Genomic DNA, 22983 nt, shown 5'->3' with positions numbered 1-22983 from the left:
AATAGTGGGATCTTGGCTCACTGCAACCTTCACCTCTTGGGTTCATGCCATTCTCCTGCCTCAGCCTCCCAAGCAGCTGGTATTATAAGCGCCCACCACCACGCCCTACTAATTTTTTTGTATTTTTAGTAGAGACGGGGTTTCACTGTGTTAGCCAGGATGGCCTCGATCTCCTGACCTCATGATCCACCCGCCTTGGCCTCCCAAAGTGCTGGGATTACAGGTGTTGAGTCACCGTGCCCAGCCCCTGTTACTTTTCAAAGTCAATTCTGAACTTCTGACCCAGTACACAAGGCCGCTACAACTGGATTTCTGCTCTCCTTTTACAACTTATCCACAGCCCCAGATTCTACATTTCAGCTTCATTAGAAGCATAATTCATGATTCACACCTGCACATTTACCAATTCTGTGCTGTCTGCACAGTGGCATTCTATTGGTCCCATAAGAGCCAGCTTGTATGTCAGCCTACTTTGCAAGGCCTCTCTTACTCCTCTAGGATGAACTTCATGTCATTTTGTATTGTGGCACTTAACCTTCTGCAGGTGAATTTTCTGGCAGTACGTGTGGCACCCCTATTGCCCTGTGAACAAAACAACTTCCCCGTGTATGTATTCCTGGAGCCCAGTGCAGGGTCTTGCATGCAGTTGGTGCTCAGTGAAGTTGGCTGAGCAATGGGCTGAGTGAGTGGCTGTGGATTCTCTGTACTTTGCTCTTTGGTGCATTCTGAGGCCTTGACTCTCCCAGAGAATTGCCCTCCAGGGGCCCAGCTGTGCTTGCTGTTACTGAGTACTTCTGCTTCTTTGGTTCATGTTGAATATTTTGCTGTTCCATTCAGAGCAGTGGAAAGTCCAAGGCCTTCTGCCCGAATCACTTAAAAGTCCTATTCAAATAGGTTTTTCTCTTGTACTTCCCCCCAGATGTCATTTAGGGAAAGAAAAGTAAATTTTGCTTTTGCTTTGTGGAGTAAAAATGAACTGAAACACTAATTTAGCTTCAGCTACAGTATCACCCTGATTACGAAACAGGCCATTTGTAGAATACTCAACATTACCAGCAATGATAATAATAGAATCCAGTCAGCGTTTATCATGTGCTTAGCATATGGCAGTCCAGTCACTATGCCTTCTGAGGGAATCAAAGAGAAGTAAGACAGCCCTCTTCCTAGGAGAGCTGCCAGTCTGGAGTCCAGCAAAGGGTATAAAACAGCACAATGGCTGCAGTATAAGATACACCATGAGACCTGCTATTACACAGGCACAAATTCCTTGGGGGCACAGACTAAGAGGTTTTTCTTGGCCAGGGTAAACAGAGAAGGCTTTATTTGACTGGACCTCGGAGATGGAGAAGATTTAAAGACACGGGAATGGAAGAGAAGAGCCATTTCAGTTAGAGACAACAGTGAGAACACATAGCTGGTGCCAGGGAAGGAAATGCCTGTCAGTGTCAGGGCAGGCACTGGCAGGGGACTGGAGTGGGGTGAGATTGGGTTGATGGGGGAGGCTGAGTCAGAGCATGGAGAGCCTTTTAGGAATCTGAGCTCCCCTTCATGGGCAGCGGGAATCCTTTGGAGGATCCTGAGCTGATTACTGGAAGGGCCAGTGGATAGTAAAGTCAGATTCCCAGAGGGTAAGGCAAGGCTGCGCTGATCACACACCGGCATGCACAGGTGTGCCGGAGGGGATGAGGAAGGACAAATTAGTGACGTGATGACAGTTGCACTCAGGCACTCCATCTTATATGGACCATCCGTAACTCTAATTCCCCTCTTGCTTCCTTTCCCGCACTCTTTCCTCCTCCGTCTCCTTTGAGCTCTCCACAACCTCAGTCAAAACATTCTGCCCCACTAGGCAGGCTTCGTGAAACTTCTTTCCTTCCCTCCCTGCCTCTCAGCTCCCTTGGTTCACAACTAGTCACTCTTTCCAGTACCCTCTTAAGCCTTGTTCCCACAGATAGCAGGAAAATTGGGGGGAAATCCTGCTGACATGGATCCTATGCTTGTAGGATTTCCTGGAAATTCATCTCCCCAGATAGAAACCAAGCTCCCACTGAATGAAGCCTTGTCACCCTGGGCCTCTGGCTTTTCTTGATGGTCTGGGCGACTTTCCTTCGTTGTGTGTTCTGACCACCAAGGCTTGGCCCCATGGGACCAAGGGGGACGACCGGAGGGCATGCAGGTGGCTTCTCGTGCATATTTTCCTGCTCCCCTTTGTGTTACTCTCGTGTCACTATTGAAGATCGTTCTCCCCTACAGATAATTTGCTCTGGTCGGGGCTTTGGAATAGGGAAGTAGCCATGATAAGTTTCGAGAAACTAAAGAACACACCAGGGGTGGGAGTTCCCCTGAGTCACCTCCTCTGAAGCAGCCAAAAGCCCAGCCAACTTTGGAGAAAGGAGAAGTTGACCTCAGTAGTTCTTTTTGAGGTTACAAACCTTGTCTTGTAGCTTGCATTCCTCTGGCCACTCATCAGCCAGGGTGGCTTCAGGGTTCTTCCCTCTTATTCCCCATCAAGACTTACCTGGCTAGGCTGTCAGCCCATCGCTTCTATTCCCTGGTCAGAGGAGAGCCGAACCCCAGCTGTTTGAATCATTCCTGCTAAACCCCGGACATTCTGCAGTCACATGCTCTGCCCCCTGAGCTATACCCCCTTCACCTAAACCCTAGACATTCTGGAGCAGAGACCAATAATTCCTAAAGAGTCCTGCCCAAAGTTCAGGTTCGTGAGCAAAATAAATGATTACTGTTTTAAGCCACTAAGTTCTGAGAACTTAGTTTGTTACCAAAGCAATGGATAACTGGAACATTTGTATATAAATATGGCAATTTAGGTAAGCACAATGAATATTCATGAGGTGGTAGTTCACATATATGTATATGATAAGAATCACAAGAATGAAGTCCAAAGCACCTTACAAATAGAAGAAATTGTTAATTACTAGGATGGCTCATATTCTTCTTATTGTTATTCTCATGACAAACACAAGTAGTTTCCTCAGTCCTAGCCAGGACTTCACGCTTCTTCAGTAAGAACTTCTGGACAAAACAATCACAGAGAGAACCTTGGTTGGGCCATAGGTACTTATTACTATAATTATTATTATTTTTTGTTTGCTTGTTTTTTGAGATTCAGTCTTGCTCTTGTCATCCAGGCTGGAGTGCAGTGGCACGATCTCAGCTCTCTGCAAGCTCCGCGTCCTGGGTTCAAGTGATTCTCCTGCCTCAGCCTCCCAAGTAGCTGGGACTACAGGTGCCCGCCACCACACTCAGCTAATTTTTGTATTTTTAGTAGAGATGGGGTTTCACCATGTTGGCCAGGATGGTCTCGATGTCCTGACCTTGTGATCTGCCCGCCTCAGCCTCCCAAAGTGCTGGGATTACAGGCGTGAGCCACCGCGCCCGGCTAGGTACTTGCTAAGTGTGAACAGGTTTCGCCAATTATCTTCCATCATCACCCTCTCCCCAACTGGCTGCCGTTTCCACCTGTGATAGATCAGTGTTACACATGTGCATTTTCCAGAACTCCCAGCTGTGAGGCTGCAAACCTGGCTCCAGGGCCTGAGCAAGGGTTCCAGGGAGGGTCTCTGCATTCGGGGCCACTGCAGTGACCTACTTTAATTATTCTCTTATGCAGTTCCTTTGACTGCCTATAATATGGTATAGGTTCTCCTAGACTGAAAATCCTTTGAAGGCAAGAATTTTTAACTTCAGCGCCTAATACGGTCCCTGTTACACAGTAGCAGTTTAGTATATGTTTATGGGATAACTGGATACACATACGGTTTCCAGACAATATGCCTTCTGTTTGACTCATTCAGAATGTACTTGGGCTGGACCCCTAATTTCATACAAAGTTCCACGCGTTGACAGAGCAGCTCAGAGGATGGGGAACCATGAGCTGGTCTTTACAGGCCTGTACAGTAGACCCTGGCGAATGCAGACTCAGATTGTAGTGGCACTGAGAGAAGATATCCCCCATCTCTTCACACTTGGTCCATGGTCAGCTACTTGCCTCTGACCCACACTTCCCTCCACTCCGCCCCGCACCAGTCCTTTCACATTTCATATAAAAGAAAGAAAGAATTTTCCCTTTTTTGGAAAGAACTTTGTCTTTCTCTCTCCCACCTATCCTTGAAAAGTGATAATTTGGAAACTCCCCAAAAGAAACTAAAGCAGGCCATGATATGTAAGAATTTTTATTTCTTATTTTTATTTATTTATTTTTTTGAGAGGGAGTTTCGCTCTTGTTGCACAGGCTGTAATGCAGTGGTATGATCTTGGTTCACTGCAACCTCCGCCTCCTGGGTTCAAGTGATTCTTCTTCCTCAGTCTCCTGAGTAGCTGGGATTACAGTCACCGGCCACCATGTCTGGCTAATTTTTATAGTTTTAGTAGAGACAGGGTTTCACCATACTGGTCAGGCTGGTCTCAAACTCCTCACCTAAGGTGATTCGCCTGCCTTGGCCTCCCAAAGTGCTGGGATTACCAGGTGTAAGCCACTGCGCCTAGCCCACAATATGTAAGAATTTTTAAAGCAACTCCTTTTGGCATACAGAAGATTAGAAATATAAAGCCCTAGGCTGGGTGTGGTGACTCATGCCTATAATCCCAGCACTTTGGGAGGCTGAGGCAGGCGGATCACTTGAGGTCAGCAGTTTGACACCAGTCTGGCCAACATGGTAAAACCCCATCTCTACTAAAAATACAAAAATTAGCCAGAAGTGTTCCCAGGCGCCTGTAATCCCAGCTACTTGGGAGGCTGAGGCGGGAGAATCACTTGAACCCGGGAAGCAGAGATTGCCGTGAACCTAGATTACGCCATCGCACTCCAGCCTGGGCGACAAGAGCAAAACTCCGTCTCAAAAAAACAAAAACAAGGGTCTATCTTTTTTCTATTTCCACCCATTGCCCAAGCCAGGACCCAGTGAAGGCAGGTAGTTGATCTTTGTTGAATAAATGAAATGCCTAGCTAATTATTATTATTTTTATTTTTATTTTTGAGACAGAGTCTCCCTCTGTTGCCCAGGCTGGAGTGCAGTGGTGCAATCTCAGCTCACTGCAACCTCCACCTCCTGAGTTCAAACGATTGTCCTGCCTCAGCCTCCCAAGGAGCTGGGACTACAGGTGCGTGCCACCAAGCCCAGCTAATTTTTGTATTTTTAGTAGAGACAGGGTTTCACCATGTTGGCCAGGATGGTCTCGATCTCTTGACCTCGTGATCCACCTGCCTTGGCCTCCCAAAGTGCTGGGATTACAGGCATAAACCACCGTGCCTGGTCTTATACTTTTTTTTTTTTATAAGTAGAGATGGAGTTTCACCATGTTGGCCAGGCTGGTCTCAAACTTCTGACCTCAAGTGATCCACCTGCCTTGGCCTCCCAAAGTGCTGGGATTACAGGCGTGAGCCACCACACCCAGCCAAAGATGCTTGATTGCAATTTTAAAACCACATGCTTCTATTATTATTATTATTATTATTATTTTGAGGGGACAGGATCTCACTCTGTTGCCCAGACTGGAGTGCAGTGGCACAATCTCAGCTCACCGCAACCTCTGCCTCCTGGGTTCAAGTGATTCTCCTGTCTCAGCCTCCCAAGTAGCTGGGATTACAGGCATGTGCCTCTACTGCCTGTATTTTTAGTAAAGACGGGCTTTCACCATGTTGGCCAGGATGGTCTTGAACTCCTGACCTCAAATGATCCACCCGCCTTGACCTCCCAAAGGCGTGAGCCAGCGGGTCCGGCTGCTTCTCTTATTTTTAAAGAAATATTCAGCACCAAGGAAATGTAATGAGAGAGAGAAAACTCAATCTTCCCATCCTTTCCCTGGTTCTTATGATGCTCAAAGATGATTTAAGGAGGTACAGCAGCCTGCTCTTGGCTTTGTGCTCCTGTGGGCCAACGGGCACAGTCTAGGAGGCACGGGAGAACTTTCCCAGGGGAATTCCTGGAGAAGTGGCTTGACAACATATCTGTATGCTCCTTTGTGCTCTACAGGTCCTATATCAGTCTGGATACTCCAAGAAAATGTCATGAGGGGATTAGACGTCTAACAGATTTACTGGGGTAAATGCCTGTGAGGGAAAAGAGGGAGGGAGGCAGAAGAGACTACAGAGCTGTCAGACTACAATGCAGGACTGACCTCTGCAAAGGACAGAAGGAGGAAGATGGGGTAGGAAGTCTTCCATGACTGTGCAGTCGAAGGAAGTTTCAGCAAAGCCCATGGGGAGTCATTGAAGCAAAGTTACCTATCAAAGGAAGTTGACTTGCAGGAACCGATCTTAAGGTTCCTGCTTTGCTCAGTCATTGGCTGGGAACAGCCTGTAGGATGTGTGGCCTCAGTGCAAAGCTGTGGTAGATTCAAAGCACTGCGGCTGGGGCCCTTAGTCAATTAAACCACCACAGTAGGTCTGAAAGATGCATTTTCATGGCTGCCACGCTATTAACGAGCATTCTAAGCAGCACCTCTCCTTTCCTCCTTAACCCTATGGTGATAGTTCAGAAATGCAGGTTATATATGAATCATTTTTCCTATTTGCAGCTGGTCATAGACAGGATAAAAGACTCAAAGTCACTCCATATGTGGATGGAAAAAAAAAGTGAATTCAATTTCTCCAGCGACCATGAGTTATCTCCTTTTTCTTCCATCCACTGCAAACCTTTTCTCAGGATTGCTGCCATAGCTAAATCAAATGAGATTTGCATTTCACCTATGAAGTTATATCCTTGATAGGTAAAGAGATGATTGGGAGGCCAAATTCCTCATTAGTCCACAAAAGAACAATGAGGAACTAGCTTTGATTAGGCACGTACGTTTTACCAGGCATGGTGATAGAGGCTTTACATAGGTCATCTCTTTGAACTTCACCTCAACCCTCTGAGGTCAACATGTATTGCCTCATTTTACAAATTAAGCACAGACCCAAGGTACATACTGAGTAAAGAAAGAGAGATTTGGCTGGGACTGAGTCCAGGCCCTCTGACTGTAAGTCCAGTGCTCTTTCTGGTCCTGCAATTTCTAATCCACACATCGGATAGTTTACCTGAGTTAAAAATGTGAATTAAGTCAGGCTTAAAGCAGAATTTTGTTTTCTATCAGAAATTCTAGAGTAGGTGGAAGGTGAAGACCAAAGAAGGTATTTTCTTTTTCTTTTTCTTTTTTTTTTTTTTGAGATGGAGTCTCGCTCTGTCGCCCAGGCTGGAGTGCAGTGGCACAATCTCAGCTCACTGCAAGCTCCGCCTCCTGGGTTCAAAGGATTCTCCTGCCTCAGCCTCCCAAGTAGCTGGGACTACAGGTGCCCGCCACCATGCCTGGCTAATTTTTTGTATTTTTGGTAGAGATGGGGTTTCACTGTGTTAGCCAGGATGGTCTCGATCTTCTGATCTCGTGATCCGCTCGCCTCAGCCTCCCAAAGTGCTGGGATTACAGGGGTGAGCCACCGTGCCTGGCCCAAAGAGGGTATTTTTTTCTTCCCTCTCGGTATCATCCTTACTCAATTACAAATGATCAAGGGCGGTACTGCCAGAGTCACCTCGAGAGGCCCTGTTCTCTGCCACCCAGGCTGTTTTGTAGTCTCCATTCCAAATTGTCGTTACTCCGGTTTACCCCGTGGATGGCGTTTAAGACTTTTCTTAAATTTGAAATTCACAGAACCATTTTAAAGTGAACAATTCAGTGGCATTTAGTACCTTCGCAGTGTTGTGCAACTTCCACCTCTATCTAGCTGCAAAACATTTTCTTTTCTTTTTTTTTTTGGAGACAGAGTCTCGCTCTGTTGCCCAGACTGGAGTGCAGTGGCGTGATCTTGGCTCACTGCAACTTCTGTCTCCCGGGTTCAAGCAATTCTCCTGCCTCAGCCTCCCGAGTAGCTGGGATTACAGGCACACGCCACCCGCCTGGCTAATTTTTTGTATTTTAGTACAGACGGGGATTTACCATATTGCCCAGGCTGGTCTCAAACTCCTGAGCTCAGGCAATCCGCCCGCCTTGTCCTCCCAAAGTGCTAGGATTACAGGCGTGAGCCAACGCGGCCGGCCTTGTAAAACATTTTCATCACACAAAAGAAAACCTTCTACCCATTAAGCAGTTACTCCTTCCTCTTCTCAGCCCCTGTCAACCACCAATTTGCTTTCTATCCTATGGATTTAACTGTCTGGATATTTCATAGAAATAGAATCACATAATGTATGACCTTTTCTGTTTGGCTTCTTTCTATTAGCCTAATGTTTTTGAGGTTCATTCCTGTTGAAGCATGTATCAGTTCTTCATTCCTTTTTTGGGATGAATAATGTTCCATAATTTATTTATCCTTTCGTCTGTTGATGAACATTTGAGTTGTGTCCACATCTTGGCTATTGTGAATAGTGCTGCCATGTACATTCGTATGTAAGTATTTGAGTATCTGTTGGGTGTATACCTATGAATGGAATTGCTGGGTCTTTTGACAATTCTGTATTTAACTTTTTGAGAAACTGCCAACATTTTCACAGGGGTTGTACCATTTCACATTCCCACCAGCAATCTACAAGGATTCTAATTTCTCCACATCCTGCATTTAAGACTTGCAAAGCTGAATTAATCACAGGATGAGGAAGTGGCTTCTCTGAAACATTTTCCTCTTTCACATTTTAAACTTTCTCTTTCATACATGACATGAAACACAGCCTACGCACGAAAGTGACTAGGAGGAAGGATATTATAAAGTGATGCAAACAGAAATTCCACCAGCCTCCATGTATCATCATGTGTCATAACTCAGTCAAGCTCAGTGAGCATTCTCAGCACATTGCCTCAACAGCTTCAAGGTGAGCCAGCTCAAGACTTTGCTCTCCACCAGGCAGAAGATGACAGACTGTGAATTTGGATATATTTACAGGCTGGCTCAGGACTATCTGCAGTGCGTCCTACAGATACCACAACCTGGATCAGGTCCAAGCAAAACGTCCAGAGTGCTACAAAATGTTGCGTTCTCAGTCCAAAAAGAAGTGGAAAAGAATCTGAAGTCATGCTTGGACAATGTTAATGTTGTGTCCGTAGACACTGCCAGAACACTATTCAACCAAGTGATGGAAAAGGAGTTTGAAGACGGCATCATTAACTGGGGAAGAATTGTAACCATATTTGCATTTGAAGGTATTCTCATCAAGAAACTTCTACGACAGCAAATTGCCCCGGATGTGGATACCTATAAGGAGATTTCATATTTTGTTGCGGAGTTCATAATGAATAACACAGGAGAATGGATAAGGCAAAACGGAGGCTGGGTATGTGTGATGGAAAAATTCTTCATTGTTCTTTCCTGTGAAATAGAAATTGAGAATTTCCTTGCTAGTTAAAACAACAACAAAACACTTTACCTAAGAATACTATTTTCCTTGGGTGGTTTGTTTTAATTTTTAAAATAAAAATATACTTTCTGGCTTATTTCCAATGAATCCTTGAACTTGAACTTTATAGTTGGAAAGCACTTATGTTTTCAGTTTTTATTCTTAACAGTATAAATTACAGTAGTGAGCTTTGGGGATTAATAAAGCACCTCTCTCATGCAGCTTCACAATCAGCTGTGCACACACTCTAATCTAGTACTTAGCTTTTGCTAGGGTTGTCATGACAGTACAGACAGTACAGAAATTTCTACAATCAGCACAGAAAGTTGCTATCAGATGCTGTTATTTTTAGGTATTTATGGGTTGCAAAAGACAGGTGTAAATTTTTGTAAGTTCATCGCTTACAAATTGGTGTTTTTCAGTTTACTAATACATAATAAATAGTAACATATATTAATATATAGCAAATTACATTACATATAATATATAACACATTATTACTAATAATAAATTCCGGGCTGTTAAAGTTTGTTGATTAAAACATAATATACTGTATGACCAGCAAGAACCTTTATTCAAGAATTTTCAAATAAAAATTTACTTTATTATCAGTGCCTAAAAAAGCCAAGACTATGTAGAGGCCTGTGTTGAAACTCATGTTGGTAAAAAGCCTGACACAGCTGGATGTATATGGTTTCCTTTATATTCCAATATACTTAATAATTATTTTTTTAAAGCACTTAAGTGTTCATTGATCCTCTCTCCAACGGCCTTCACCTCTCCCAAGAGGTAACCACTGTTATCAATTATTTTGCATGCAAAACATGCCTACTGAATCTATCCATAGAAAATAAACAATACTTCTTTGTAAAACATTTTTTGTAAAAAAAGTTTTATATAAAATGTATATGTATGCTTATGTATATGTTTTACATAACATATATGTTATACCATATAACACATACCTTTTTTACATATACACATAGATTTTTTATGTATACATATAAATTTTGCATACATATTTTTACATGTGTATATGTAAAAATAGTACATGGTACTAATGCTGCCACTTATTTTTTTACCCAGAATTATTTAAAATAGTATTATTAAGAGTGCTGTGTATATTCTGTTATATGTAAGTGCTGTAGAGTACCTGGCCATTTCTAGCTGATAGCTGTTTAGGTTATTTCGAGTTTGCTGTCACACACAATGCTTCATTGAATATCATTTTACGTAAATCTTCCCTTGTGCGTGTGTGTAGTTTTCTAGGGTGGATGTTGGGTTGTAGATGCTGGGTCATGGTGTACATACATTTTTTAATTTGTTAGGTCCTTGCCCTCCAAAGTGGCTCTACCAAGTTACACTCCCATCAGCAGCTCGTTAGGATATGCCCCGGGATTCTCCTACCCCAGCTGACTAACAGTAGGTTGCTGCAATTCATCATAATTTTCTTAATTTGTTGGGCTAAAAATATAGAGTTTATCTTGTTTCAATTCTTGTTTTCTTGATTTCTAGTAAGGTTAATTTTTTTTTTACATTTTGAGCATCTTTTCATATATTAACTGATCATTTGTAAATGCAGGGAATTGTCTGTTTACACCCTTTGCCCATTTTCCTTTTATTTTGTCTTTTTCTTATTGATTTGTAGGAATTCTTTGAATATTCTGGATACAAATTATTATTTTTATTATTGTTTAAATTTTTTGAGACAGAGTTTTCATTCTTGTTGCCCAGGCTGGAGTGCAGTGGTGTGATCTCAGCTCACTGCAACCTCTGCCTCCTGGTTTCGAGCAATTCTCCTGCCTCATCCTCCCAAGTAGCTGGGATTACAGGCATGTGCCACCACACCCAGCTAATTTTGTATTTTTAGTAGAGACAGGGTTTCACCATGTTAGTCAGGCTGGTCTCGAACTCCTGACCTCGGGTGATCCTCCCCCTTTGGCCTCCCAAAGTGATGGGATCACAGGCGTGAGCCATGCACCCAAATTATTTTTATGTATGTGGCAGATATCTTTTAGTTTGCTGATTAACGCTAATGATGTCTTTGGTCATTATAAATGTTTAAAAGTTTGTTGCAATCAAATTTATTGATCTTTTACTTGATGCCTTTTTCATTTTGTTTAAGGCCTTCCTGCATGATAGAGCTTACTGCAGCTACTCCCCTTTCTCAATCACCTTCTTCCTGGAACTTAGTTCTTTCTAACTGAGCCTGACTGAGGCTGGGCGAATCATGTGAAATGTTTTGTCATGTTTTCTTCCGGTTGGCTGTGGGAGGCTATACTTGAGGACTGGTGGAAATTCAGCTGCACTGTGTAGATTTCAGGTGAAGGCAAATGTTCTCTGGCACAGAGGACCACAGATGAGCCTGCAGAGAAATACTCTACTAGTTTGCAGGCTCTATTTGGGTTTGGATTGTATTTCCAACGCTTAGCATAATACTTGGAGCACACAGACAGTGAATAAATGTTAGTTAAAAATTTAACTTCTCCACAATAAATTTTGTGAGCTCCTGGAACTCACTGTTAGCAAGAGGTGTGGAATTGTCTCTGAGAATTTCTAGTAGTACCCTCATCTTTCAAGGGTGGTACAGATGTAAACATGAGTGTGGCCGGATGAACCTCTCCCGAGTGTAGATACAAATACACACATTGCCTGCACGTGCACACACTCAGCCTTTCTAAAGTTTCCAAGCTCTTTTTTTTTTTTAAAAAAAACACCTGAATAGTTCAAGTTGTAGACATGAAATAAATACTCTTGGAAATGTCATTTCAAAGCAATCTCCATGCCGCTTTCCCAGCTCAGATGAGACATTGATTCTGTCAACGATAGGCAGTGCTTTTTTGAGTCAGTGCAAACTGGCATGGAAAACTGTTATCATCTTTTCATAGTGATGTTGACAAATCTGCTTAAATGAATGAATTTACTCTTGAATGATTCATTTCAGGGGAAATGGCACAATCACACACCTATGCTGGTAGAGTCAGTGGCCCACAAGAAGAGGTAAGAGTAGAGAAGGCACTTACAGCTTTATCAAGATGTGAGCACATACAATCTATAATTTAATTAAATGTTAAAATTGCCCAGAGACTTTATGAAAACTTTGAATCAACAATGCGGTATGTGCCGGGTGCAGTGGCTCATGCCTGTAATCCCAGCGCTTTGGGAGGCTGAGGTGGGTGGATTACCTGAGGTCAGGAGTTCAAGAGCAGCCTAGCTAAGATGGTAAAGCCCTGTCTCTACTGAAAATACAAAATTAGCAGGGCCTGGTGGCGGATGCCTATAATCCCAGCTACTTAGGAGGCTAAGGCAGGAGAATCACTTGAACCTGGGAGGCGGAGGTTGCAGTGAGCCGGGATTGTGCCACTCCAGCCTGGGCAACAGAGTGACTCCATCTCAAAAAAAAAAAAAAAAAAAAGCGGTATGTGAGCACAGCATAGATGTTCAGAGCACCAACTCAGAATCAGACAGACCTGGCTTCATTTCTGGGCTCGAGTGCTTACTACCTGTGTGAATTGTACAAGTTGCTTAACTTCCCTACGTCTTGTTTCCTCATCTGTAAAAACAGGAAAATATTGCAACCTATGTCCTGGGACTGGTATAAGGATCAAATTAGTTAATATATGCAAAGCACTTGAAACAATTCCTGAAAATGAGTACTCAATACAAGTTTAGGATTTTTGTTTACCATGTAAAACAGATCCCCTAATGGGAAGAAACGAGACTGGTCTATCAGTAATAGGACTCATAATCTCTTTCGTTATTCTCTTTCTCCTTTTTGTCAGTTGTCTTTCCTTCCTTCCTGCCTTCCTGCCTTCCTGCTTTCCTGCCTTCCTGCCTTCTTTTGTTTGTGGCTTCTCATCTCTCTTTTTGTCCTCTTCCATATTTACCATGGTTTCCTCCTGTCCGCTCTCCTAATTGGAAGTGCTGAGAGGATGTGCTCTCACAAGATCTGACAGGAGAGCTAGTGCCATTTGGCTGCCTCCAGCATTCATAAGGAAAGGATGGTTCTTAAAAACCATTAGAATGTTCATGAGATGAAACTCATGTCTCTTCTCTTGGGATCACCCTTCCTTTTGAACCAGATGGGTCTTCTTACTTCCTCCCCCTTCAATGAAGCATTCTCCTCTGCATATGCTGGGGGAGTAGAAAGAATGCTTGGCACTCAGCTCCACATGGGAGAAATTGTGTCTACTTAATGCATCACTGTGTACCTCATGCCTAGCATAGAAGGTAACAATATTTGCTGATGGGATGATTCAACGAACCAACACTGAAACTGAATATTTGAACTCTGGTTTTCTCACTCACTAGAGGTATAACCTTGGGTAAATTACTGAGGTACTCTGAGACTCAGATTCCTTATATAATGTATATAATAATATGACATGACATATGATAATTTATTATATATGTAATATTTAATGAAAACAATCTTACCTACCTTTAAAGGAAAGCTAAAGGATTATAAAACACTTTTTGTAAAACAGTGCTTTCCAAGCTGTCAAATACTGTGCAACTACGAGAGTCGTGGGAAATTCCAGGAAGTTTAGATAGGTAATTCTTTGCCCTTCTGAAGTAGGATGTACAGTCAGAGTTGGTGCTTTCCCAGTAACCACCATTTTAAAGGTTGGGTCATACAGTTAGGTCAAGAGGTTTTTTTTCTTTTTTTTTTTTTTCTTTGTCATCCTCTTACTCTAAATAATAGTCCGGTCAATTTGAGGCCAAATAAATGGGCACACAGAGACATGTATAGATGATTAACTAAGTGTTCACTTTGGCAAAGGCATTTCCAAAAGGTATAAAGATCTAGCAGCAAGGTGATACTATCTCAAGTGTTCATATATATCCTTTGATTAAATAAGTTTTGGGGCAAAATTTTCTATGTCTTTTGAATTTTTACTTGAGACTCTAAAATCATTTAGTGAAAAATAAAAGACCCTCAAGTCAGGCAGAAATGTATGACACTTAAGTGCTAGTTCTCTAACCTTGGGAGTCAGCCTGGACTCCTGTCTCTCATAGCCCACATCCATCCATCAGCAAATCCCCCTGGCTGCCCCTTTGAAATGCTGTAATACCCTGTGCATCTAGGCCGCCTTCCTCTCTCACTTGACTCTGTCAGTAGCCTCCTGCCAGACTCCATGGTTCCATCCTTTATCTGCTAGAATTTGTTTTCCACATAGCCCCCACAGCGATATTTTTAAAACTTGAGGGGCCGGGCGCATTGGCTCAAGTCTGTATTCCCAGCACTTTGGGAGGCCGAGGCGGGCGGATCACGAGGTCAGGAGATCGAGACCATCCTGGCTAACACAGTGAAACCCCGTCTCTACTAAAAATACAAAAAATTAGCTGGGCGTGGTGGCGCATGCCTGTAATCCCAGCTACTTGGTAGGCTGAGGCAGGAGAATTGCTTGAACCCAGGAGGCGGAGGTTGCAGTGAGGTGAGATCGTGCCACTGCACTCCAGCCTGGGTAACAGAGTGAGACTCTGTCTCAAAAAAATAAAATAAAATAAAAACTTGAATTAGATCATGTCTTGGCCTAATCATAACCCTCCAAGCTGCCCTTTTACCCTGGGAACAAAAGCACAAAATCCTGACTGTGGTCCTCAAAGCCCTACATGACCTAGCCTCTAACCGCCTCTCAAATCTCATCTGTGAATCCCTCCGTGCTCTCATAGCTCCAGCCTCCTTGGATAAGCTAAGCACATTCCACCCTCAAGGCCTTTGCACTTGCTGCTCCCTCTGCCTGGAATAATTTTCCGCCAGAAGTTTGCCTGGCTTACTTCTTCCCTTTGCTCAGGCCTCTGTTCCAAGGTTGCCTCCTCAGAGAAGTCTTCCTTGATCACCCCAACTGAGAAAGTACTACTGCCACTCTCTGTCTCCCTACCCAACTTTATTGCCTTCATAATAGTTTTCATGACTGGACATCCCATTGCATATTTACTTGCTTATCTGTTTATTGTCTGTGTCTGCCGTGAAAATGTAAGCTTAGTGAGGGCAGGGATCCTGTATGCTTTCTTCACCACTGTGTTTCCAGTGCTTTAAATGGTACCTGGCATGTGGCCAATGCTCAATGAATATTTCCTGAATGAATAAATGAATAATAATGTTTAGAGAAGTGGGAGTAACATAATGGTGTTTGCGTGTATTTTGTTTGTTTGTTTGTTTTTTTGAAACAGGGTCTTGCTGTCACCCAGGCTGGAGTGCAGTGGCGCAATCTTGGCTAACTGCAGCCTCGACCTCCAGGGCTCAAGCAATCCTCCCATCTCAGCCTCCCAAAGTGCTAGGATTACAGGCTTGAGTCACTGCGCCCGGCTGCCTGTATCTTTAAAAATTCTGAGATTTTGATTTTCTTTGGACTATTGATACTGTATATTATTTTATGCTTTAGGTTTTCTTGTAACCAAGGTAGCTGAATTTAACAAACTATCACCATTCCCAGAAATAATAAGGCCTGAACTATTCTTATTTACTACTACATTACTGATAGGATATTGAATCCTTGTTTGTATATTTATTTTTATATAATGGTTTTAAGATACAAATAGCATCATTAAAGAAAATATATTTGAAAATAACATTTTTGAAAGGAAGAAAAGTCACTCCCATCACCCTAACATATCCACATGCAGACATTGTATGCAATTATAATTAGGGTGCACAAGAGTTTTTTCCTGTGACATATTGTAGATATTTTCAACACTGTCTCACATATTTCATGTTAACATTAGGCATTAATTTCTAATGTCTACAGAATATTTCATTAATTTGTTATATCATAATTTACTTAACCAATTCCCAATTGTTAGACAATTTGGTTTTTTCGAGTTTTCCCCTTTTAGATATAATGCTTCAATACTGAAGCATGGGTATGCTTTTCTGGTGCCCCCTACCCTCCAATATTTTAGAAGACTGCCTCATGATAAATTTCTAACACTGGAATGACTGGTTCATAAGATGTGTGTATAATTACAATACTCTAGCATATTGGAAAACATATTTTCTTTCCAAAAGTATTATATCAATGGAACAATGTCACAACAAACTTAATGATGTGGGTGGTACTATTAATAATTTTGAGGTTTGCTAGGCATAAAATAACAAAGCCAATTTAATAGGTCTAAAAAACAATAAGACTGTGTTAAAAGTACATTTTTAACTGCTATTAGTGTTTTTCCCATATACTTGTTAATAATTTATATTTCTCTCTTTAATGGTCTTTCCCTTTTAAACTATTAAGGGCCTGAGGATTTTCTGTTACATTTGAATGAACTCTTTCATGCTATATGTAAATATTTTCCTAGTCTATTGTTCTTTTAATTTTAATTTTTCATAGTTTAAAAAAATTTTAGGCTAGGCACGGTGGCTCATGCCTGTAACCCCAGCACTTTGGGAGGCCGAGGCGGGTGGATCATGAGGTCAAGAGATCGAGACTATCCTGGCCAACATGGTGAAACCCGGTTTCTACTAAAAATACAAAAATTAGCTGGGTGTGGTGGCGTGTGCCTGTATAGTCCTAGCTACTTGGGAGGCTGAGGCAGAGGCAGAAGAATCGCTTGAACACAGGAGGCAGAGGTTGCGGCCAGCTGAGATCGCGCCATTGCACTCCAGCCTGGGTGGCAGAGCAAGACTTTGACTCAAAAAATAATAATAATAAATTTTAATCTCTTTCTGGCTGAATTCATCATTTTTTTCTTTGTTCACTGTCCTTTCGACATTGATGTATATAAGGTGATACATTATGACTGCTCAATGATAATAGACAATGATCGTTGTCATAATAATAAAAATCATGCTGGGTGCGGTGGCTCACACCTGTAATCCCAGCACTTTGTGAGGCCGAGGTGAGTGGATCATGAGGTCAGGAGTTCAAGACCAGCCTGGCCAACATAGTGAAACCCCGTCTCTACTAAAAATACAAAAATTAGCCGGGCATGGTGGTGCGCGTCTGTAGTCCCAGCTACTCAGGAGGCTGAGGCAGGAGAATTGCTTGAACCCGGGAGGCAGAGGCTGCAGTGAGCTGAGATCGCGCCACTGCACTCCAGCCTGGGCAATAGAGCAAGACTCCATCTCAAATAATAATAATAATAATTTCAGAGGGCCTCATTATACTTGCGAAACATGGGGTTTATGAAAATTCTAGGAAGGGGAGTAATGAAGTGGATACCTCTTGAGAGTGTATAGGAAACTATGAGTATGTACTGGCAGGAGGGAAAGAGGAAGAAGAGAGAGGGCCAGTTTCCTTCCTCTGTCAAGGCATGACAGCATGTCTCAGAGCACGATGTACACTTAACACGTAGGCAGAAAATGGCTTTCTTAGGCAGTCTTTCAAATGAAATCCCCCTGGCTGGTGGTATTCATCTGCTTTGCCAGTGATGCTCATAAAATGATTCCAAGGCACCGCAGAGCTCTCGAGTCACTCCCAACTATCAAAGAGTTATGCTCGGTTTACATTTCAATATTAGTTACACTGGGCTCTGAGCTACTTGCAGGCATTTGTAACCCCAAGGTTCTGAAACCTGTAAGGTGAAGACGTAAATGTTTGCCAGATGACCATTTGAAAAAATTATTTTAACAATTTTCTAATTCTTTTGGCACTTGTTTGGAAATGTATGGAGTGGAAAGAAGTAGGGTGTTCACATTCTCATCCAAGTCCAGGCACCAACGGGTTGGCTAATCTTAGATAACTTATTTTTCTGGGCCTCGATTTCCTCATTTGTTAAAATAATGGAGGGCTTCAGGCTAGATGATCTCAGAGATAGTTTTTGGTGAGGATTATTTGACTACAGATTGTAAATTAACTAAATAAAATGTCCAGTTAATTGGGTTATCCTATATTTTTAAAACTATGTCTGATCACAAAGAGAGTAGATTATAAAATAAACTATCAACCTTTTCATAGCTTCAAAGGTATTAGTTTAATTTGGATTTACTGTGAGTTCTCATGATTTTCAATACAATGCAGTTTACAGTATAATATAATTCATATTACAAATATAAGTGCATTGAAATCAATGTTGGACAATTGAACAAGAACGAGAAAAAAAAAGGCTTTCTATCCTCTAGAGCTGTGCTTGCTGTCCACTATGGAAGTGAAATGTGGCTAGTCTGAATTAAGATGTACTGTTAAGTACTAAATACTCATTGGATTTCGAAGGTTTGTTATGAAAAAAGAATATCTCATTAATGATTTTATACTGATTACATATTAAAATAAAAATAACTCTAAAACTATCCTAAAAGTTAGTTTTATCTATTTTTTTACTTTGTAAAATATGGCTACAAAAAAATTTAAATTACAGACGTAGGTCACACTGTATTTCTGTTAGATGCTGCTGCTTAACAGGGGTAGAAGGGGTAGAAGATTAACTATTTGCACTATTTAAATGAAAATATTTTTGCTTTTTATTCCAGCATACTTAATCTCCAATGATGTTTAAAGTGTTAAATTTATTCTTTTATAGGAAAATGGCTTTGTAAAGAAGTTTGAACCTAAATCTGGCTGGATGACTTTTCTAGAAGTTACAGGAAAGATCTGTGAAATGCTATCTCTCCTGAAGCAATACTGTTGACCAGAAAGGACACTCCATATTGTGAAACCGGCCTAATTTTTCTGACTGATATGGAAACGATTGCCAACACATACTTCTACTTTTAAATAAACAACTTTGATGATGTAACTTGACCTTCCAGAGTTATGGAAATTTTGTCCCCATGTAATGAATAAATTGTATGTATTTTTCTCTATATGCCATTTTGTCTTAATTTCTTGGGTCTGGCTGGAAATTCAGCCAAAGGGTAAAGCTCAACACAGGAGCCAGGCAATTAATTATGGGATGATGACCAGGAAGGCGGTGTCTTTTCTGCCCCACGGTAGACCCTTTCAGGTGTGCCCATTGCGCAAAAGTCCTTCTCTGTGTCACTAGGCTAGACTGAGAAGCAGACTCAGGCTAGAAGCAGACTCAGGTCGGCTTCCCTCTTCCCTCCTTCCTTCCTTCTTTCCTATGCTTTCTGCAGTTTCCAGTGCCCCTGGCTGCTTAGAGTTTCCACTGACGCCTCCTCCGCAGCCTTCTCTCTCTGGCTTGACATTTGGGGTTGATGGATATGGCAACCCGACATGCAGGATACTCGGGGATATTCTGAACAAAGAAAATTAGGTAAATAATTTAATGTGGAGCTAGTGTTTAAAAAAATGGGTTTGTTTTTGTTTTTGTTTTGTAAAAATGAACAGATTAGGAATTACGTGGTTTGTTAGATCTTGTGTTCTAATTTTTAGGTCAGCAAATCTGATTGCGATATGGGAACTCCATACCTTGTTCTAGACCTTCCTGGCCTTCCCTTCCTCTTTTTTTTAATTTTAATTTTAATTTTTTAAATTTTTTTGTTTGTTTGTTTTTGAGACGGAGTCTCGCTCTGTCGCCTAGGCTGGAGTGCAGTGGTGCGATCTCAGCTCACTGCAAACTCCATCTCCCGGGTTCACGTCATTCTCCCGCCACAGCCTCCCTAGTAGCTGGGACTACAGGCGCCCGCCATGACGCCCGGCTAATTTTTTTTTTTTTTTTTGTATTTTTTAGTAGAGACGGGGTTTCACCGTGTTAGCCAGGATGGTCTCAATCTCCTGACCTCGTGATCCGCCCGCCTCGGCCTCCCAAAGTGCTGGGATTACAGGCCAGGCCCTCTTGCCTTCCTCTTAGAAACATTCCCCCGGGGGCTTACAAAATTACCTTTCCCTGGAAGCTGTTGATAGATTGCATAAAGAAGCCGGAGCTCGGGCCATATACATTCTCGCCGGGCACTTTAGTTAATTAATGCTTTACCTAGGAGGTGTGATTCTCTCTCTTTTTTTTTTTTTTTGAGACAGAGTTTCGCTCTTGTTGCCCAGGCTGGAGTGCAATGGTGTGATCTTGGCTCACTGCAACCTCCGCCTCCCGGATTCAAGCGATTCTCCTGCTTCAGCCTCCAGAGTAGCTGGGATTACAGGTGTCCCCTACCACGCCCGGCTAATTTTTGTATTTTTAGTAGAGACGGGGTTTCACCATGTTGGTCAGGCTGGTCTCAAACTCCTGACCTCAGGTGATCTGATCGCCTCGGCCTCCCAAAGTGCTAGGATTTCAGGTGTGAGACAACGCACCTGGCCAGGAAGTGTGATTCTTAACGGTGGGGATTAGGACACAGGTGCTGTCAGTAGGGAAGCGTTTTTGGCAGAGGCAGCTTTGGTTTACTTAAGAAGTCACGTCTGAGAGGCAACCATCTATGCCATCTGAGGCGCCTGTCACTCGGAGCAGGGTAAGACTTCACAGTTTCCTTTTTCCTTCTCTTCCTCCAAGTGCCTCACCCCCACCCCCCCCCCAACTGCTTTTAGTGTTCATTCTTTTTTTATTTTTATTTTTGAGACGGAGTCTTGCTTGCTCTGTCGCCCAGGCTGGAGTGCAGTGGCGCGATCTCGGCTTACTGCAACTTCTGCCTCCTGGGTTCACGCCATTCTCCTGCCTCAGCCTCCTGAGTAGCTGGGACTACAGGTGCCCACCACCACTCCCGGCTAATTTTTTGTATTTTTTTTTTTTTTTTTAGTAGAGACGGAGTTTCACCGTGTTAGCCAGGATGGTCTCAATCTCCTGACCTCATGATCCACCAGCCTCGGCCTTCCAAAGTGCTGGGATTACAAGCATGAGCCACCGCGCCCGGCCGTGTTCATTCATTTTTGTGTGTTAATCAGAGCTGAGTGGTGGGAATGAACAGTCACTGATGGTTCTAACAGGAAGTACATATATGGGCACTATTACCTGGAATACATTCACATGAGCAACCACAAAATCTGGTTTTTACACTGCAGTTGTTTCTTTAGCAATGTGACACTGGGAAATCAGTGACTATTTCTGATTTGGTCTGTGACCTGGTCTTTTAAACTGTACCTTGCTGTGTGTTTTGTTTATTAATTTACTTTAAAAAAAGGTTTTTATGGCTGGGCGCAGTGGCTCACGCCTGTAATCCCAGCACTTTGGGAGGCCGAGGTGGGTGGATCACCTGAGGTCAGGAGTTCCAGACCAGCCTGGCCAACATGGTGAAACCTCATCTCTACTAAAAATACAAAAATTAGCCGGGTGTGGTGGCGTGCACTTATAGTCCCAGCTATTTGGGAGGCTGAGGCAGGAGAATCACTTGAATCCAGGAGGTGGAGGTTGCAGTGAGCTGAGATCGCACCATTGCACTCCAGGCTGGGTGACAAGAGCGAAACTCCATCTCAAAAAGCAAACAAAAAAAAAAGGTTTTTATAAACCTCAACTCTTACTTCATGTGGCACAGAAAAATTAAATGGAAAGAGATCACAGGCCTAAATTTATGTGAAAATTATACAACGTCTAGAAGAAAATTAAATTTTTTTAATTTTTACTGTTAAAAAGACACTTTAAGAACTCAAACAGAAGGTATTTGAATTATACCTCAATAAAGCTATTTAAAAAAGCTCTCAAAAAGGCAAACCACAGAATGGGAGACAATCTGTACCACACTAATATCTGATAAAGGACTTGTGATAGGTGATACTCTTATAATTCAATAACAAGATCATCATCAACCTAATACTAAGCATGGGTAAAAGATTTGAACAGACACTTCACAAAAGCAGATACACAAATGGCCAGTAGACATGGAAAAGATGTTCTGGAGAACATGTTGAGCACCATTAGTCATCAGAGAAATGCATTTAAAACCACAGCAAGAGACCACTACATATCCTCCAGAACAGCTAAAATGAAAAAGATAGATAATGCCAAGCTTTTGGGAAAATGAGCAACTGGAAGTCTTACACACTACTGATGATAATATAAAATTGTACTACTACTTTGGAAAACAGCTTGGAAATTTCTTATAAAGTTAAACATACACTTATTGTAGGACCCAGAAATTCCTCTCCTGGATATTTACCCCAAAGAAATAAAACATATGCCTATATTATTCATAGCTTTATTCATAATAGTCCAAACTGGAACCCAAATGTTCATCAACAGGGGAGTGAATAAACACACTTTGGAATATCCATGAGACAGAATGTCACTCAGCAATAAAAAGGAATGAACTACTGGTACATGCAACAGAATAGATAAATCTCTAAAACATGTCGAGTGAAAAAAGCCAGTCACAAGAGTACATAGTGTATTAACTCCTTTATGTGAAACTCAAAAAAGGACAATACGTAGTGTCAGAAAGCAGGTCAGTTGTTGCCTGAGGCTGGGATGTGAGTATTGACTAAGAACTTTGCCTAGGGTGATAGAAATATTCTTCATCTTGATTGTGGTAGTAGTTACATGGGTGTATAAATTTGTCAAAACTCATAGAGATGTACACTTAAAACTGGTGCATTTTATTGTAGATAAATAATATCTCAATGAAGTTGACTTAGAAAAAAGTGTTTCTGGCCAGGCACGGTTGCTCATGCCTGTAATCTCAACACTTTGGGAGGCCGAGGTGGGCGGATCACAAGGTTAGATCGAGACCATCCTGGCCAACATGGTGAAACCCTGTCTCTACTAAAAATACAAAAATTAGCCAGGCGTGGTGGCTGGTGCCTGCAGTCCCAGCTACTCAGGAGGCTGAGGCAGGAGAATTGCTTGAACCCGGGAGGCGGAGGTTGCAGTGAGCTGAGACTGCGCCACTGCACTCCAG

The 22983-nt window shown here is 42.3% G+C and overlaps 1 protein-coding gene across 2 annotated transcripts, besides 5 other annotated features; it reads left to right on the top strand.

Moving 5' to 3' along the window:
* Positions 890 to 969: an enhancer, noted in NCBI's record as "active region_9940". NCBI's record gives its function as "activates an Ori minimal core promoter by ATAC-STARR-seq in GM12878 lymphoblastoid cells {active_cell/tissue: GM12878}" and the evidence as "EXISTENCE:reporter gene assay evidence [ECO:0000049][PMID:35858748]".
* Positions 1350 to 1419: an enhancer, noted in NCBI's record as "active region_9939". NCBI's record gives its function as "activates an Ori minimal core promoter by ATAC-STARR-seq in GM12878 lymphoblastoid cells {active_cell/tissue: GM12878}" and the evidence as "EXISTENCE:reporter gene assay evidence [ECO:0000049][PMID:35858748]".
* Positions 2480 to 2529: an enhancer, noted in NCBI's record as "active region_9938". NCBI's record gives its function as "activates an Ori minimal core promoter by ATAC-STARR-seq in GM12878 lymphoblastoid cells {active_cell/tissue: GM12878}" and the evidence as "EXISTENCE:reporter gene assay evidence [ECO:0000049][PMID:35858748]".
* Positions 8141 to 9340: an enhancer, noted in NCBI's record as "BRD4-independent group 4 enhancer chr15:80262962-80264161 (GRCh37/hg19 assembly coordinates)". NCBI's record gives its function as "activates an origin of replication core promoter dependent on BRD2, P300/CBP, MED14 and CDK7 cofactors, and independent of BRD4, by STARR-seq in HCT116 cells {active_cell/tissue: HCT116}" and the evidence as "EXISTENCE:reporter gene assay evidence [ECO:0000049][PMID:35650434]".
* BCL2A1 (BCL2 related protein A1) lies at positions 8764 to 19068 on the top strand. Of its 2 annotated transcripts, NM_001114735.2 has the most exons (3): positions 8764 to 9260; positions 12268 to 12323; positions 18786 to 19068. In NM_001114735.2, the coding sequence occupies exons 1-3, from the start codon at positions 8841 to 8843 to the stop codon at positions 18799 to 18801; spliced, it is 492 nt and encodes a 163-aa protein (NP_001108207.1). In that variant the 5' UTR covers positions 8764 to 8840; the 3' UTR covers positions 18802 to 19068. The 2 variants fall into 2 exon arrangements, with proteins under 2 accessions (NP_001108207.1, NP_004040.1); NM_004049.4 differs by lacking the exon at positions 12268 to 12323.
* Positions 11645 to 11694: an enhancer, noted in NCBI's record as "active region_9937". NCBI's record gives its function as "activates an Ori minimal core promoter by ATAC-STARR-seq in GM12878 lymphoblastoid cells {active_cell/tissue: GM12878}" and the evidence as "EXISTENCE:reporter gene assay evidence [ECO:0000049][PMID:35858748]".

The sequence above is a fragment of the Homo sapiens genome, chromosome 15 (genome assembly GCF_000001405.40).
Source record: "Homo sapiens chromosome 15, GRCh38.p14 Primary Assembly".
NCBI lineage: Eukaryota > Metazoa > Chordata > Mammalia > Primates > Hominidae > Homo > Homo sapiens.
Note: the sequence above shows the minus strand (reverse complement) of the source record. Positions and strands in the feature narration are given on the sequence as shown.